Raw genomic sequence first — 18,738 nt, 5'->3', positions numbered from 1 at the left:
TTACGTAGCCTTGGAAATACAATGTTACCACTGCTTACACCCGCTCCCTAATTATATCCCTCTCATGCCCTCTCAGAGGTAACTACTATCATGAAATCAATCTTTAACATTACCATGTTTTGCTTTAGGCTCTTATATTATAAAAATACATAAAATATAATACAGTGAATATATAGAATATAATCATATTATAGGATATATAATATATATCATGTACATATATATATATATATATCCCTAAACAAAATATTGTATGTAGCATGTTAACTTTATATGAAAGGCTTACATAATATTCTTTTGTGACTCGCTTTTGTTGTCCAACAATATATTTGAGTTTCATCCACGCAAATCTGAGTAGTGTTCACTTCTTTTCTATGTGCACAGTGTGTTTTGGATATAACTATGCCACAATTCATTTATCCATTTTCCAAGTGATAGATCGTTAGGTTACTTCAAATGTTTAGCTATTACAGATGCTGCTGCTATGAGTGGTCTAGAACTTGTCTTCATCTGTGTAAGAGCTTCTCCAACTCTAAGGTTTTACCTGGGAAAGGCCTTTCTAGATGTTAGTGGTCATTTTACAGTGTCATAATTTTATCTATCTTTTACCTTTTTACTTTACCACCTTTAATTCCTTTAATTATTTCTACAGAGAAAATAAAATTTCACTCCAAAGGAGCAACTACTTTTCTCTCCCTTCTTCTCCCCAGTAATATAACAGACAACTCCCAATCTCAACTTGAAAGGCTCCCTGAGCTTAAGAACTGCTTTCTGGGTGAGAGTGGTAGCCCTGCATTTAAGGTCAAGATCATCTGAGAACACATGAGTATCAAATTAGAGTTTTCACAAGAGTACAGTGAAGTAGGGCTAAGAGCTCATTCTTCTAACCTTCATCCTTCACAATCCTGAAGATACCTTCCTATAACACAGATCCTCCTCAAAACCCTTGAAAGGGCTTCAAAGTCAAACTTCCTCCCACTTCCTGACCTTCCTCTGCCTTTCCATCCTTATGTTCTCTTAATGAAGTACACACATCCCCACACTCTAGCCATACACTGAGAATTCCCTTTCTCTCACTCCATCTCTACCAGCCAACAAATTCTTGCTCATCTTTCAACATCTTGGGCAAATGGCTCCTTTAAACTCTTCCAGACTTTCTTTATTGGAATTAACCCTTCTCTTCTTTGCATCACCATGGATAGAACTTTGAAGAAAAAAAAAAAAACCAGCATATAAAGCAGTTTTCATTGTCTAGTTTTTACAGTACTGTTCTAACCTTCCTTATAATTCTATAAAGTACTTGAGGCCAAAGGCTCTCTCTTAAATCTTCACTGTCCCTAAAATGACCATCACAATGTATTAGACAAGTTCAATTTTAGGGAGAAATATGCTGAACAGTTCTTAACATTAGTACTTTTCATATGAGTTATCATGTTTACATTTCCCAAGGATATTCCTAACATGGAAACCATGTCTTGTATCATCCAGGCATTTAGAAATGGAGAAAGAAATAATTAAAAAGAGACCCCATATAAAAAGGAATTCTGTATTTTAGAGTCCAAACACTGAAACAGAGAGGATAAGATCTGGGCTAACATATCGCAAAGAACAACTTAGGGATAAAACAGCAGGAAAACAAAGATAACATGTGAAGACATACCAAATATCAAAATGCATTAATTATTTTAAAAAACCAACAAATAAAGAAATAAAACAAAACTCAAGAAATGGTAACCAATTACCTGCATGAGCAGAGAGAGGTGAGTGTGGTCGAGGCAATGCTGGTGACTGCCCATTGCCTATTAAGCTTTTCCGGTTGCTTGTTCGGCAACTATCAAAAAGAAAGAAAAAACAAAGTTTAAAAAGAATATAGCATCAATAATGTTCAACCATGTTCCCGGTAGACATGGACCAGGTTGAGCAACCTATCTGCTCATGTTATTGTTAAAATTATTACAATTATGCATTCACTAATATTTGAGGGGTGGCTACCTCTTGAATATTAGAAAATATAATGTATTCATATAGCACAACACCATCAATATTCCTCACCACCAGTGGAGCAATAATCAAATGCCTTCTTCCAGCGCTTGAGTGCAAATATGTAACATGCCATACACACAAGTGATAAATTAAGGATTCAAATCAGCAAACCACAGGTAGCATCTTTGTTGACACAAAATTTCTAATACAAAATTACATGCAATGAAGTGCAGTGACATTAATCTTATAATGACGCACTAATTAAAAATCTAATTATTTAGACAAATTTCTTATTTGTGCCTTTTGTCAATAGAATAGCTGATGCCTAAGATAAATGTGTCTCACCACTCATTCATTTTTCATCTTGTATATGGCATTCAATTCTTTATTAAGGTAAATGTTCTGGAATCATAAAATCAGATCCCAGTGTATTAAAATAATAGTGATGGTCCTCTTTCACAAGCATGCTAGCTACTGGTTTTATCCTGAGTACCCAGAGCATAGAAATAAATTACTACACATGGGCACAGGGCAACAATTTGTTCCTGTTTCTGCTAGAAGGAAGTTATAAAATGGCTAATTTGATTTCAAAGTAACTTTCAAAAGCCTTAAAGAATAAGACAAATACAAAACTGGCGGATGGGTGAAGTGGATATTATCTTATTTTCATTTGCTTTTCTTCAAAATAGACTGGCACTTCATTCTCTATTAGCAATACAGTAGTCAGAGGAGGGTGGTAAAACCCAGCAAGTTACCTCATTTAATTCACCTATAACAAGGCTCAGGGCTCTGTGCTTCTATCCTCCTACACTGTGCTGCCCTCAACCACCATTAGGAGTTTATTGCAATGCCTTCTTAGTGCAGGACAGAACTCTGTTATACCAGATTCCTGAAACAGGAATTTTCACTGGACTTCTAATTTAGGTACAGTGAGATAACATTTCTAAATATTCAAATAATACATTTCAAAACCAAACCCAATTTCTTTCAGCAATACAGACTTGGGAGTTATCTTCTCTTAGATGTTTGCTGCTTATTATCATTTGTCAACAGTCCCATATTTATAATTTCTTAAGGTCAGGCTGCATCACTTTATTTTCCTTAGTGCAGCAATCAGCATCCCCTAGTATTATCTGTGAGTTTAATTAAGCTCATGTTTACTCAGCCTTAAAGCAGTTGTTAATAAGAATAGACTTTTGATATTTAATTATGAAGGTGGGTTGGATATTATCAACTCATCTATCAAGAAATGTATGTATTCAACCTATTAAATTCACAATCATTAAATCAGACAGTCTGATTGGTTTTAAAAGATACTGTATAATGTATTCAGTGTTAATTCAAATTAATGTCTTCTTTCATTCCAATACAGAAATATTAAATATATTAACTTGCTGATGTTAATAGAAGAAATTATAAATGACAGATTTATGTCCTGGAAATGTCAGCAAACTTCTTTCAGCAAATTAACTGAAGTTCAGGTTATTATAAAAATGGCTACATTTTTTCGTGTTTAGCATTTGATCTACATCATGCATAAAGATCTTTTCAACATATTTATTGTTTATATGCATAAATAAAATTCATAAGAAATGTCTGTCAATGCAAATAATCTAATGAATATCTTAACTAGATATATCAGTGAAATATGCTGATATACTTAAAACTAAATTTAGAAAATGTTATTTAAGAAAAACTTAAAAAATTTCTAAGAAACGTACACTACCATACATACTAAGGTACATACACTACCACAATAGGCAAAACAATGAACAATTTAGATTTTTTAAAAAATGAAAACATGAACAACAAACCCTCACAATTCCATTAGTTATTTAAAATCTATCAAAAAGGGGTAGAAAAGTGATTTCAAAAATGTGATTCAAAAAAAATATCAAAAAGAAATGTCTAAATAAAACCCCCAAATAAAATATACTTGTTTGGTCAATATACAAACAGATTTACATTACAGTCATCCTGGGTGCATCTACTCCTCTATACAGATTTCTAATCTTTATAAATAGATGATTCATTATGAATGCAATGTAGAGTGAAAGAAAACAGGCTATTTCATCTATGAATACATGAGAAAGTTAAAAGAAGAGAAGTTAAAAACAAATTACCTCAGAATTTGAACAGTTTACCATATTTAAGGTATGGGTAGTATGTTACACAAAACAAATTATCGAAGGTATATCTTATTGACAAATGCCATGAATAATCAAAGCATAATTCATCACTGAAAGTGTCTCCTCTAATCTTTTTTCCTTTCAACATGAAGCTAGAGATGATATTAAAATTACAACAGACTTGGAACTTTCTGGGATCTCTCTCAACAATGAAATAGAAAACTTTTAAACATCAAATGATCCCAAAGTAGCAAAGCCAGTGTTTATATAATATAGGCTGATATATTTCCATATGTACATGAAATAAATCTGTATACTTATGAAATGGGGTCTTCGCCTTATGAATGAATTTGTTGCTAAAATTTTCAAGGGTAGAGGGACACTTTACACAGCATTTCATTCCCAAATACCTATATCTTGATATATATATCTAAATACTTTTAAAATCCTAGGACCCTACTGAGATATTCTGTAGAAAACCTTTCCAGGGTACAGGAAGGAAGAGTCATCCAATCTCAGTATTACCTGCTTCTGGGATATCTGACAGTCACCTAATCTTATTACTCTAAGTACCTGATTCCCAATAAATGAATTAAAATCTGCACTTAACTCCAACAGTAAGAAAACTTCAAGTGGGTTAGAACTGCATCTGTCACCCAGGTTGCCACAGCACCTGGCAATGCCCACATTAATAATAACATTGGTGCAAAATGCTGAGCTGACCTCTGTCCTCCAGGTATCACACACTTTCCTGCCCATGAAAGCAGAAGTTTATGGCACCTGCACGTCAGGCAGTCTCTCCAGGTGTTCATGGCCACACCTACTCATTTAACCCATTAAATGATAAAACAGTGGAAACATCTCCACTCAGGCAAATTAAAGGCTCCTTCCTTTTCACCAGCACAACTAAGTCAATTCTGCCTTGTTTTTTTTTTTTCAAGCAAAGTCACCCAAGGGAAAAACAGGTGATGTCCGACCAGATTAAACATGAATACTACTTCTCCTGTAGCAGAAATATCTTTTTTATAACTCACCCTTATCTAAGCATTTGAGCTTGTAAAGAGTTATCTCCAGTTTTCATCCTCAGGGATACAGGGACATGACCGCAAAAATGAAACTAAAGAAAAGTTATGAACTCAAATTGCAGCTATTCCATCCCCAAATACATTCTTTTGACTTCATTCTTCAACAGCTAGAAGCCATTCACCATGCCCATGCTCCGACGTGAAAGCCCAACATGAGACTAACCACTTCCCACAAAGTACCCTCTATCAGTTCTCCAGTTGAAGCAGCACATGGAAAAACTTACTTTCCTGTGGGTGAGTTGCACAGTTTGTTCTCTGAATTTGGAAAGTGACAACTATTGTTCTATTAACACAATGGCACAGAGTCACTACTTGCAAATTCAGAATTTAGGCTGAGAAGACAGTCATATAACAACTTGAGACAATGGCATAAACAATGGATTAGGACAGGAGCTGATGATCACAAGCATTTATTTTTACTTCATTTATCTGGTACCTCCTTGGGAAGCTCCTCCTAGGGGCAACTATGAGACACAGAAAGATAACTTAGACACAGAGCACAAGAAATGCACCTTGCTGACTACAGAATCCGAGAAGAATGGGAAGGGGAAAAGATGTTCTGATGATAGGACCTTGAGGGAGGACTGGCTGCCCCTGAGGGGCAGGAGGTGAGCAGGCATGGACAGAACACTGCGTGTAAGAATGTCACAGCTGAACAGGTGCTTGGGTGGAGATGCTTTGGAGTGACATGAGGTCACCACCAGGAAGTGTTTTGTCTGCATGGTTTTTGCTCAGGCAGGTGAAATGAGGACTGAAAGAGGCACCACACCTGCTCCCTGAGTTCACTATTACCATCGCGAAAACAGTTTCACAAGGAGCTTCTCAATTTCTTAATTACTGCCAACAGCACCTCCCATTTGCTAAGAAGGTGAAGAGACAGGCCATGCATTTCATCATCTAAGTCAGGCCTGGCTCAGTGTGAGGGACAAAGAGGACTATGGGCTACTAAGCTGGAGGCAGGTGGGAAAGGAGGTGTATGTATTTTTGGTTCCAAGTACCCCATTCCATTTCTGCAGAAGTTGTCCTTATGCTCTGTGCTCCATAAGAAAGGCTTGGTGGGACCTGTAAAAGTTTCACACCTGGGTCTGCCACTTGTCTCCTGGCAGAAGAACCTGTTAGCCATCCCCTACCAGGTCTCTGAAAGCTGTGAAGCCCACCAGGCTGTGGCCTTTTCCAATTACTCTGAGTAGCTGAAATCCAACTTAATTTTAAATTACATTCACTTTGAGACATAAATTCTGATCATTTCTGACCATGGCAAGAAAAATGAAGAGAGGAAACCCCGACAGGCAGTGATTTTTACATTGACAGCTGACTTGAAAGGTCAACATTCAGTAAAAAATAAGACTAACCACCATTGAGGGGCAGTAATAATATAGTGAATTGAGTAAGAGGGGCCCCGGTAATTCTGGAAAGCTAGAATTATTACATCGTCCTAATGAAAATTTGATAAATTTGCACAGGAGACCCATCATAGACCAAAGCTTTACTGTCCATGAACATCTGCTAACTATTTCCTCACACCTTTAGAGAAGATGAACATTTGAATATTTCTTAAAGAAGAAGGCTGAAGTGGAAGAAATAGGGCATGACCAGGAGGCAGAAATTGTCTAGCTAATGTGGTAATGCTGCATAAATGTTATGAACTAAGCAGCTTTCTGTCTCCATTTCTTCACAATGAAGGGATTGAAACAGATGAGATAAATATTCATAAACTTACTTTTTTTGGTCTCAAAAATTTTAATAGAAAAATAATCCAACAAATCCTACCACACTGGAACAAGCAACTGTATCATTTGTGCTATTTGTTTCCAATCTTTAAAAAAGATATAGAAACTAGAAAGAGAACAAAATGTACTCTCTGAAGTCCAAGCCAATAACATATTCCAGTCCCCAAAAGGCAACTACTGAAAGAACTGGGGCTTGCAGCTTGCCCATTCATTCTTGGTATGGTAGTGTATATATATATATATATACGTATATATATATATACACGTATATATATATATATATACGTATATATATATATGTGTGTGTATATATATATATACATATATATATATATATGCTATATGTATAACCACACTATATGTGTGTGCTTCCACTTTTCACTAGTAGTATCACATAACAGGAAAAACAGAGACTTGAAATTGTACAAAAGAAATTAACAGTTACCTTTTAGTGGCTTGTTGGGCTTTGTATAGCAGACGATCCCTGGGAATTATTTGATTCTGTAAAGGTATACACATTGTTTTTCTATTGACTAGGTGATTTAAAAACTCTGTAGAAGCTGAAGTTAAGTAGAAAACTGGGAGTAATGCAAATGATTCCCATCCATAATAATGTAAATGAATTTTATCTGGTGAAGATACAATTAATGTCCACCCCAAGGAAAGATGACCTCAAATATTTACTATCACTGTCCTATAAGATACTAATTTTGCATCTATGAGCAAATTTGTTTCATAATTCCTGACTATTTATGTATATCTATTCATATATGTCTGATTTTAAAAAAATCTCTTTGAACCTGTTTTAATATGTTACTGCTGCCCTCACTGATATGTTAAACAAAATATTTGATACATGTTCACTTCATATTTGTATGACAGTCATGTTTTTGACTTTTGGATGAATTATACTTTTGGATGAATGTCTACAGAATTAGATATTCTGTAACTTACTTTTTTTCACTCAACATTATGTTTTTGAGGTTTAACCATGGCAACGTAAATATGGGTCTAATTCATTCCCTTTTTAGATTATTCCTTTGAAGCAAATTTTAGGATTCCTAAATGCACTAAAATTATATATCATGGACATTTCTTTTTCCTCTTTGCAACATTAAAGATCTAGAACTCTGTGCATTTGATTGAAAAAGCTTTGAAAAATGTCTTTGATAAGAGGCTATATTTGAAAGAAAAATTATATCATGCAACATAAAGCAAATATTTCTTAAAATCTTTGGACACCTCTTGCCCAAATCCTGCTTATTGCTGCTTCACCTGGATATCTCTATTTTTGCCTACATTCTGTTGTCTTCTCCCAGAAATAATTGTCTTTCTCATGTAAATCAGTCGACCCTTTCTTTCTAGGCATCTTCAAGTCTACATCTCCACCACTTTTTCTGAATAGCACAAGGTCACACCTAGTAGCTGGCTGGATAAGCACTATTCCTCCTTAGAAGGCAGCAGAGACAAACAACAAAGCTGTTCTCTGCCTTTGTCACACACCCTTTGCTACTAATGTGAAGTTAAGAAACTCGCTGGGATCCTCTTCCCTATGGCCCATGAAATCAGAGCTCCACCCAGGCTTTCATTAATTACTTCAATAAATTACTTTCTGAGTGCCTAAGATATGCTAGGCACTATTCTAAACAAACAAAAATCTCTGCTCTCAAGGGAGCTTACATTTTGGAGGGAAAAGCAGAAAATGAACATAACAAATTTGTAAAATTTGTGGTACATGAGATAGCGATGGAGGAAAAATAATGCACAAAGTAGGACAGAGATTGCAGGGGTGGGAGTTCACAATTTCAAACAGGTGGTCAGGAAAGGCCTCACTGGGGAGGTGAGAGAGGATAAGACCAGAAAGCAAGGAAGTGAGCATTCAGCAAGAGCAGAGGCCCTGAGGCCAGAGTGTTCTAGGAGCAGCAGGCAGGCCAGCATGGCAGGCGTGCAGAGAGCCAGGGAAGAGTGCCAGCAGAGGATGGTAGAGCCATGGCAGGAGGCAGGTCTGCAGCAGCCTGCAGGCCACAGTGCAGAGTCTGGTCCCTGAGTGACAAGGGAAGCTGTTGGAAGGTTCTGAACATAACCTGACTTTTGTTTTTAGAGAATCATTCTGGCTGCTAGATTAAAAGGAGGAAGCAGGATGAATGGACTCTTATAGCCTGTGGTTCTGCTTTCAAATATAGTATTTTACTGTAAAAATTAGTTTATACAAAAACAGCTCCAAAATTCAATGCAAGTGTTACATCAGTCTGTGCTCTTTTGTACAGCCTCAAAAAACTTGGAGAAATAGCAAGTGCTGATACTATCAGCCTGAGTGCCTCAGGCTTTTCCATATTTGTATCAATGTAATGATCCAGGTCATAGTGATCAGGGGGATGTAATTATTGACCTTATTGGCTTGATACTTGACCTTAACTTTTCTATTAGCAGAAAAACTCTTCTAAAGGCATTAATTGTAATGGGAATGAATGGTTGCCTACACTGCTTTCACCTATGAACAAAAAAAAATTTAGGCTAATTTCAATAGCTAGAGAAAGGGATAAGCTTTCAAAAATTATGAAGAAAGTCAATAGGAAAATATATATTACCTTATATAGTACTTCTGGAAATATATCTAATCCATTAAGATAAATCCACAGTGAGATCTGGCCCAATTCTCTGTCTTCATAGAAGAAAAGAAAAACAGCTGAACATGTAGATATTAGAAAAGGCACTATCCAATATAACAAGTATTTCTGGAATGTCTATTCCCATGTACAAAGTACTGTGTGAGATAAGAAAATGAAGTTGTTTCAAAGTGTTTAAAGTATAAAAGGAGAGATAAGACTGATTCACAGATAACTAGACTCTAAGGCAGAATCTGGAAAAGAGATACAACAAAAATTTGCTGCTGAAGTGTGAGATAAATTCCCATTCAGCTTTTAAACACATTTTCATAAACAATAAACAGTAGAATTTTACAGAATACACTATGCATTGCAGATTATCCATCCATTTCATAGGACTTCCCTAAATAATCTCGTAATTTCAGTGATCTGCTTGATGAAAATACAGTCACTTGTTGCTTAGCAGGGATACATTTGGAGAAATGCCTCGTTAGGCTATTTTGTCCTCATGCAAACATCACAGAGCGCGCTTACACAAACCTAGATGGTAGAGCCTACTGCACACTGAGGCTATATGGGATAGTCTATGGACCCCAGGCTACAAACCTGTATAGCATGTTACTGTACTGAACACTGGAGGCAACTGCAACACAATGGTATTTGTGTATTGAGAAAAGAAAAATAGCTCAGAGCAGTCTGAGTTACGTGAAATATGCAAAATGTATCAGGCCCAGAGAGACAGGAGTAGGGACTTCAGTCACATCCCCACCTTGCCTGGGGGACAATCGTTTAAAGGCATTTTGTTTCTGACTAGTTGCTTCACTCATTATCTTCAAGTTCCTGGAATTTATGACAGAAATAACAATGTATACACAATTAATAGCTTGTGTTATTTTAACATAAATTCTTGGTAAACAATTTAGGAACTACCTCTTCTTTTCCTTTAAAAATCTACCTGTAACTGCTGCTAATTGGAGCGTATATACAGAGCAACTTGAATCTATGCTCAGGGTTGCAATCCTCAAACTTAGCCCCAATGAAACTCTCTACTTAATTTTGCCTTGGACTTTTCCTTTCAGGTTGACAGGATCTAAACATAGAGGTACAGTAAAAATATGGCATTACAATCATGTGGGACCACCTGTGTATATGCAGTCCTTCATATATGTGGTCTGTTGTTGACTGAAATGTTACACTGTGTATAAGTGTACATTTTTAACAACTAATTTCTCCTGAGTTATTCTCCATTTCGTGGCTCTATTTCAAAGTTAGACATATCAGCATAGCTATTTCTACATGGCTAACATGGTGGGCTCTGATGTCATAGTATTAGCACGTGTCATTGGTGGCTGACATTCACCTTGTCATATTGCAGTAAACCTGGCAAGCACAGTATCACTTGGTGGTCACAACATAACTTCGAATTGTACACGAAGCTTACAACCTAGGAGTGGGCTATAAATTTTTTGATAACAAGGATTATATTTTATGTAACACTGAATCCCTTTGGATACCCAGAAGAACATAGAAAAAAGATTAGTTGAACAGAAACACATTAAATACTTTTGAATGACTGGCTAAATGTGGTCCCTGCCTTCAAGAAGTTTATAATTTACCTTGGAGGACAAACATATAGTCCAACTTATGAGACTAAACTGATTTAAAATGACATAATATAGTCCAATACTACTGGATTGATCAAGGCAATGTACATAGCTAAGAAAACACAAAGAGCTGACGAAGTCTGTGGTGCTGGATGCATGGTATGAAACATCCTACTGGAACAATCAACATACATATCATTCTGAATAAAACTGCAACGGGATCATCCGTCTAATTAAAAGAGGGAGCAAGACACAATGATCGAAGTCAAGTAGAAGCTGGATATAATGGGATTTGTATGGCTCACACCTGTAATCCCAACACTTTGGGTGGCCAAGGCAGGAAGGCTCGTTAAGGCCAGGAGTCTGAAACCAGCTTGGTTAACATAGGGAAACCCCACTCTATAAAATATTTTTAAAAATAGCTAGGCATGCTGGTGTGTGCCTTAGTCCCAATTACTCAGGCAGCGAGGCTGGAGGATAACTTGATCCTAAGAGTTTGAGATTACAGTGAGCCATGATCACTCCACTGCATTCCAGCCTGGACTATAGAGCAAGACCCTCTCTAATTTAAAAAAAGAAAAAGGTGGGGAGGAAGGAAGGATTTATAGTAGCAGAATAAATCCAAGTTTTTTAAATGTTAGAAGTAAAAAAGTAATTAATGTGAGAAGGGCCTATATCTCATTGCCTATTAATTGTTTAGTGCAATTTATCTGCAACATGAGTCATAGGAGAGACCTAGTCTGCATGCCTACCCCAGGGATTCTAGGTCATTGGCGCAGGTCATGTATTTACAGGAAGGACCTCAAGGGCTGGGAGAGTCAATGACGGAGATGGCTTTTGGATTTCAGATTAGTACAACAGCCCAAAGATCAAAGACACACATTAAAGAGTGTTACCATTTGAGATGAAGATGGGAAGAGAGTACTGGAAAGGCCAGTAATTATCTCTAAGAGATAAAGGGCATGTGCTGTAACTTGGGAAACTTCTCCAAGGGCTGATGCTACCTAAAACATAGTATAAAGTCATTCAAAACTCACATGGCCTAATCTAGCCTGCCAGGATAAACAGCGGCTATGACCTGGCTGGCCCTACCTAGAGCTGGGTTATCAAAGTAGCAAAGTTGGGGGAAAGGTGGAGGTGGTGGAGCCAGTTTTATAACATGGGGAAAGGTCAGATCAAATACCTATGAGACAGACATCCAAGTGGTTGGCTGTCCATAGGTCAGTTATTATTAGGGACCAAAGAGAAGTCAACAGACATACTGGGGAATTAAGAAAAGATACACAAAACACAAATTAATGGTTTTCTAAACCTCTACTTTACAAGTGTGTGCTGGGGGTAGGGAAGATGTGTGTGACATAAACAAGTTGTTTTTTGTTTTTAACTTCCGTTTTTTGTACTCAATGTAAGTATATTAAATTCACAATTTGATATATCTTTTTCCAAGTAGCAGAAAAACCAAGTTCAAAGTCCTACTGTTAAAATTACTTTAATCAATTTAATTTAATGGCATTAGATTATTTTCAAATGGCCAGGGATAAGGAAGTAACTCTTGAAAAGACCTTAGACAGTGGTGGCAGTCCCAAGCCAGAGTTAATGCAATAACTTAAATCTAATGTTCCAATCTTCCTTTTTGGAAATAACACAGTAAAATTTTACTATTAACTTTTTTCTCCTGTACCTCATGTCCCAATTGCATTGCTTTTATGAAATGGTCATTGGCTTTAGAAAGCTTGATTGGGAGATGTCCTTATATCCAAAACTTATTTGAATATACACATAGCAACTAAATTATTATAATATAGTTTTACCCATTTCAGCCTTCTCTATACAGAAATTAAATCTCAGTTTAACTTGCTACCACTAGAACTATTTAATTTGGTGAATATATTTTAGTCTATAATTTAGCTACATAGCTAATCACTAACCAAAAAAATAAAAGGGTCTCTTCCTTCCTTCTGCTTCCGAGGACCCAAGGACCACTTCTTTTTGACCCACAAAAGGGAAGGGGGTTTACTTCCGTGACCACCAAATCTCCTTTTATGACATTCAACAGAAATTTATTTCAAGCCCAGAATGAACAGCATGACTATTTAACACCTCCCAGCTCTACAGCATTTGGCTTTTATATAGCAGTTTGGCATAACGTTCTGCCCACAAGTGAACTGTCCCTGATTTCATGTGCCTCCACAATCGGAACACAAACATACAAATATAAGAAACCGACACCAGAGCTCCACTTTGTTCTTTTTTGTGAGAAGTCATGTGGCAAAAAGCCAGTGTCTTTCTGTTCAGCATGTTTTGTTGCTAGCTGCTCCTAATTCAGTATCTTGCAAAATGACATTCTGTTAATGACATGAATGTCAAAGCTGTGATAATGGGCAGAAGTAGAAGAAAATGTTTCCTGAATGGAGAAGCAACAGGAAAACTGCCAAACGGATATTAAAATTAGTTGCGTGTTTATCCTATACTTTAGTGCTTGGTCCCTACTATTTGTTTCTAACACGAAAAGGGAAGTAGTCTCTAAGGAGCGAAGAATAGCCCACCTTGGTGAAAAGCGCGGAAAAAAAAAAAAAGAGGTCAAAGGAATGTTTTCCCTTAATTAACTTGACAGATGTCTTTTCTTTTCCTCATTTACATCCACTAATGTTTTCTTAGTCATTCTCTCATTTTGCAAAGATGAAATTGGCCACAAGGAACCAATTCTGTTGCTAAAGACAGGAGGACTGGGGAATTACCAGAAGACGCTGGTCTTTAAGATGCTCAGTATTCAGTCTGGGTAATGAGTGTTCCTTGCTGTTGTTATTTGTGGGGTAACAGAATTTTAGGTCTGGAAGACAACGAAGTGACTTGCCAACGTAGCACCACCAATTAGTGGCAAACAGAGCCTAAGAAGGGAGGTTAAGTGGCTCCCACAACCAGGGTACATTAGAAGGTAGAAATCTGCATGAGACATATGGATATACTTGACTACTTCTTATGTGAACATACAGTAACTGTTCTACAAAGGAAGAGACAGTTCTGTTTTAAATTAAATGGACTCAGTTTCTTAAGAGAATGCAGCCATGAAATACAAGGACTTGCCATTAGTAGATCTACTGTTGAATTCCAAACCCACTAAGCCTCAATTTACTGATCTGTAGAGCAGGGATAATAATATCAATAATCATGGCTAGGCACAGTGGCTCATGCCTGTAATCCCAGCACTTTGGGAGCCAAGGCAGGCAGATCACTTGAGGTCAGGAGTTTGAGACCAGCCTGGCCAACATGGCGAAACCTTGTCTATATTAAAAATACAAAAATTAGCTGGGTGTGGTGGCACAGGCCTGTAATTCCAGCTACTCAGGAGGCTGAGGCAGAAGGATCGCTTGAACCTGGGAGGCGGAGGTTGCAGTGAGCTGAGATCGCACCACTGCACTCCAGTTTGGGCAACAGAGCAAGACTTTGTCACAAAAAGCAAAAGAATATCAATGACCACAGAGGGCTATGTGGAGATTAACTGAGATAATTTATGTAAAGAAATTATGATAGTGCTGGCACACAGCAAGTGCTTTATAAATCTTGGCCATCAAAATAATTCTAGAGTACTTGATGTTGTGGAAGAAAAAAGAATAAAATAAAATATTTGGTCTTTATCCCTGGTATACATTCTCTCAGGCATATTCGTTTTCATACAAGAGGTTAGTTCTAGGGCAGCAAGGCTTGATGGTAAATGTAAACATTATCCTAGTTATAGAAAGAAGGTACCAGTAAGAAGTATAATTGGTGGGTTTCAGAAACACAGAAAAACAAAAGCTTCAGAACCACAAGTTCAAAGTATCCACTCAAACACTGGCCAATGGCTTCTAATTGTCAACATCAAGGTGGAGCAACATGCAAGGGACTGCACTCAACAGACTTCAGTGCTTTGGAACAACTGTCAAAACCGTGCACATCAGCCCAATCTTGCTCTGCTACCATGGTCCCCAGACAACCTTCTTATTAGCTTCATGGAGAGGTCTGCCCAAAAGTGATTAAAAATAATAATAATAACTGCTAACACTGACAAAGCGTTTAACACACTCCAAGCAATGGTTTAATTTTCATGACAATCCTATAAGGTAGGACTTATTTTTATCCACATCTTTATAGATGTGAAAATTGAAGAACTGAGAAGTTCAGTAACTTGTCCAAGATCACAGAACTAGTAAGTGGGAGAACCGGGATCTAAACCCAGGCAGTCTGCCTTCAGAACCTGTGTTTTTAACAATCTTGCTAGACTGTCTACAAAGCAGAGAATAAGACCTTTGAAGGGCCTAGGCCCAATAATGATTATATGTACACTTATAAATTAATATCTCACCATTCTGGTCATACATAGAAATCACATGAGCTTGGTAACTAGGAATCCACAGCTAAGAGATGGAGCTGGTACTTAGGATACCAACCAAACCAGACTTTTGAGTCTGTAGCATGAGGGTCAGGTACAAGAGATAGTTCAAGCTATGGAGCTTTACATCAGATTGTGAGGTTTTTCCGGAGGCAGTAAGTCTGACCCTGGTGGACAGACAGTCCAGTATCACCAAGTGGGGCATGAGTTTTATCCCAGGATACACTTGTGTACAGATTTTTCAGGCTCATGGTAGACAGGTGGGATGTGGACACGATATAGACGCTCCTTCCTCCACAGTGTATTCTCAAAGATCCATAGGTAGATGATCCAACATATGAATTACCCAGGTCAACCAGGCACTTCCTTCCTTATGCCTGCCCAAACCAACAGATCTAGCCAGACACAGCTCTCTGGAGAGAACTGTGTTTATGCATGCAGCAGATTTTTTTTTGTTCTATTGTTTTTTAGTGGATTTCAAAATCAAATCCATATTTCTGGATCATGCCTCTTTTTATATGACTTTTCTGGTTTCTTATTTCTAGATAACTCACTCTCAGTGTTCAAGAGAACCCAGAAATCAGATTTGTGATATGAAGCATCCTTGTATAGCACTGGCTTTGGGGAAAAGAAGAATTAATGCCCACATTGTAACATGCGTCAGAAAGCAAATTTGGCCAGCAAATCAGAATAAGATACACTGACTGCATTAGTGAGATAAGTTTATATTATATATATATACACACACATATATATATATATATATAAAATCTCAAAATAAAGCAAACTCAACAGTAAAAAATCTTATATTTACAAATCTTATAGCCTTGTAACCCCAAATTGTAGATTCTTCTGTTGCACTTATTCTTTCAAGATGTTATTCCTTTAGTCTGGTATCTTCCACCATTACTATCCTCCAAGAACTCCCTAGACTCTAAGAAAGCAGACAGGAGAGGGATCTGTGTGTAGAAAGAGGCCTCACTAAATTGTGTGGATTAGATTAAAACTATGGCAGGAGATGGGATGAGACACAGTGCTTCAGTTAATGAGGAAAAGTTTAACTGTGGTTTCAGTCACTTTCAGATCTCCTGCCTGCCTCTTATAGGTACGAACACTTGTTTCTCACAGGTCCAGCCTTCTGTTTAATGAGAGGAACTCATTCGTCCCTAGCCTGAGATTTGGTCCTTATCAGTAAGTACTCCAAGCTCCAGGATAACACATCAATTCCTCCTCACCATATTCACCAGACACCCAACCTAAACTCATTCTGCATTCCCTGCAGTGACTCAGAGAGTTCCTGTTCACTGTGTCCCTGGATTCCTGCTTATGAAAGCTATGGAATCCCTGACCTTCACATGGAAGTACTGCTAAGCAGAAATTCAATGGTATAGACAGATGGCACCCTACTGTGTCAACTTTCCATATTGAAAGGGATTGTGAATAATTCACCCACATGAAATTAAACTGCATATCAAGACCAGAATTAGGATGCCTCAACTTACTGAAAAGAAATCAACGGTACTATGAAAGAAATAAACATGAACTCTTCTATTGCTTACTTCCACTTATTATTTTTCTAAATAGACCCTAAATCCTATTGAAAGGGTAAAATACATCTGAAAACAACAATGCAGTTAAATCCATCTTGAAAATAAAACCTGTCGATAGCTACCAAGTGAGTCATTCCTTTGGCTTTGTGGTCATAACATATTTCCATTCAAGTATAATCATAAAATTGTGGAGCTCGTTTACATAAAAGAAACAGTGTTTTCTATGTCCTTAAATTAAAGATCTCTCTCCAGAGCCCTGGGTCTTAAGATACTAGCTTCAGTGACTATTTATTACAAAAGGCTGCAATGTTTTCTGAACTCACAAAAGTATATGGTAAGGAGCAAAACCACATTGTACTATTAGCTTGCCTCCTGGACAGTACACCAAAAATTTGATGCTATGTATTTCAAATAATAAGAAATCATTTTCATTTTATTTTTTAAAAAAAATCACATGAGCACCTATTTTTGTATCTAAATGTGTCAATATTTTAAAATAATGTATAAGAAGGGAGATGAGTGGTAAGCATGAGGTTATGCTGTCTTTCTACAAATTGAAGACTAGCACTTGGTGATAAACAGTTTCACAGGACAAAGTTAACTTCCACTCCACTCCATCAACACCATCATCAATTTGGTTTTCTTGTTTTAAGGTAACTTGTTTTTCTGATGTGTAAGTAGCCACGTTACTCCACCAAAAATCCCCTAACAGTTTTTAGAGTATCTTGCCCCATGCAGAGGACTGGTACCAGGGCCCAAGACAAGTGCTTACAAGGAGTTTGTAATCAGGAAGTCTAGGGAGGGTGACTTTTCCTTGCATTATTAAATAGATCCATTGTTCAGTTAAGTGACTTTGTATAACTGGGAGGACAAAAATAAATAATAAAAATCAGTCTACCTAAGATTTGACAAAATCTGTGTTAAAAAAAAAAAAAAAGAGAAACTAAAGGCAAAAATAAAGATAAAGCAGCATATAAAATCATCTAAACTAGAATTGCAACTGTTAGAGAAAGATTTCAATAGCCAGGTAGACAAAGTGTTCCCATCATAGGTTAAGGTGTTTTCTGAAATAAATGCTGTGGAAAGAGAAGATATTTAACAAAGAAGCAAATTTCTTTTTATCATTAAGAAATATGAAAAAGGTGGATGCAAGAGGTCTCTAGGAAGATTATTTAATGTGTCCATAATATATTGTTAAACAAAACATAATTCCACTTATGAAATTTTTTTTTGGATTATTGTATCAGGCAAACACCAGAAGAACGAACAATTAATGTTTGTGTTCTAGTTTTAAAAAAGAAAAAAAAATCCCTGGGCAATGAGTCTAGCATCATAGTTAGAAAGAATTAATGATATATTAATTATAAATGATAACTCTATCTCCCAAATTCTCCTGGCTCTTGTTGTCAAAGCCTTGAATCAGAGATGGGTCATTTTTCAACTGTTAAAACTTCCTCTTAGAGAAAGAACATTGATTAGTTTTCTACTCTCTCTTCTAAGAGATGATTTTACCTCAAAAAGATTAATCTCTAGCTCATCCAGGAGAAAGAGTTAATCAATTTGTATAGAAATGAAGAAAACTGCTTCCCTGATATTTTTTAAATGTTTTATTAAAAATTGATAAGATCCAGGAATAGAAATAGGGTTGACAATGTTTCTTAGGATAGCTCATTTTTTGCTTC

At 36.8% G+C, this 18,738-nt stretch overlaps 1 protein-coding gene across 28 annotated transcripts in view; it reads right to left on the bottom strand.

The window, feature by feature from the left end:
* Nucleotides 1-18,738, bottom strand: part of MAST4 (microtubule associated serine/threonine kinase family member 4) — a 573,201-nt gene that overhangs the window by 113,359 nt on the left and 441,104 nt on the right. For 26 of the 28 annotated variants that reach the window (XM_024446044.2, XM_047417157.1, XM_047417158.1 and 23 more), the window contains one exon: nucleotides 1,743-1,831. In XM_024446044.2, the coding sequence (XP_024301812.1) occupies nucleotides 1,743-1,831 (89 nt within the window). Of the gene's footprint in view, nucleotides 1-1,742; nucleotides 1,832-7,372; nucleotides 9,506-18,738 lie in introns of those variants that run through there. The other 2 variants (XM_011543384.3, XM_047417162.1) reach the window with 2 other exon arrangements.

The sequence above is a fragment of the Homo sapiens genome, chromosome 5 (assembly GCF_000001405.40).
Source record: "Homo sapiens chromosome 5, GRCh38.p14 Primary Assembly".
Lineage (NCBI taxonomy): Eukaryota > Metazoa > Chordata > Mammalia > Primates > Hominidae > Homo > Homo sapiens.
Note: the sequence above shows the minus strand (reverse complement) of the source record. Positions and strands in the feature narration are given on the sequence as shown.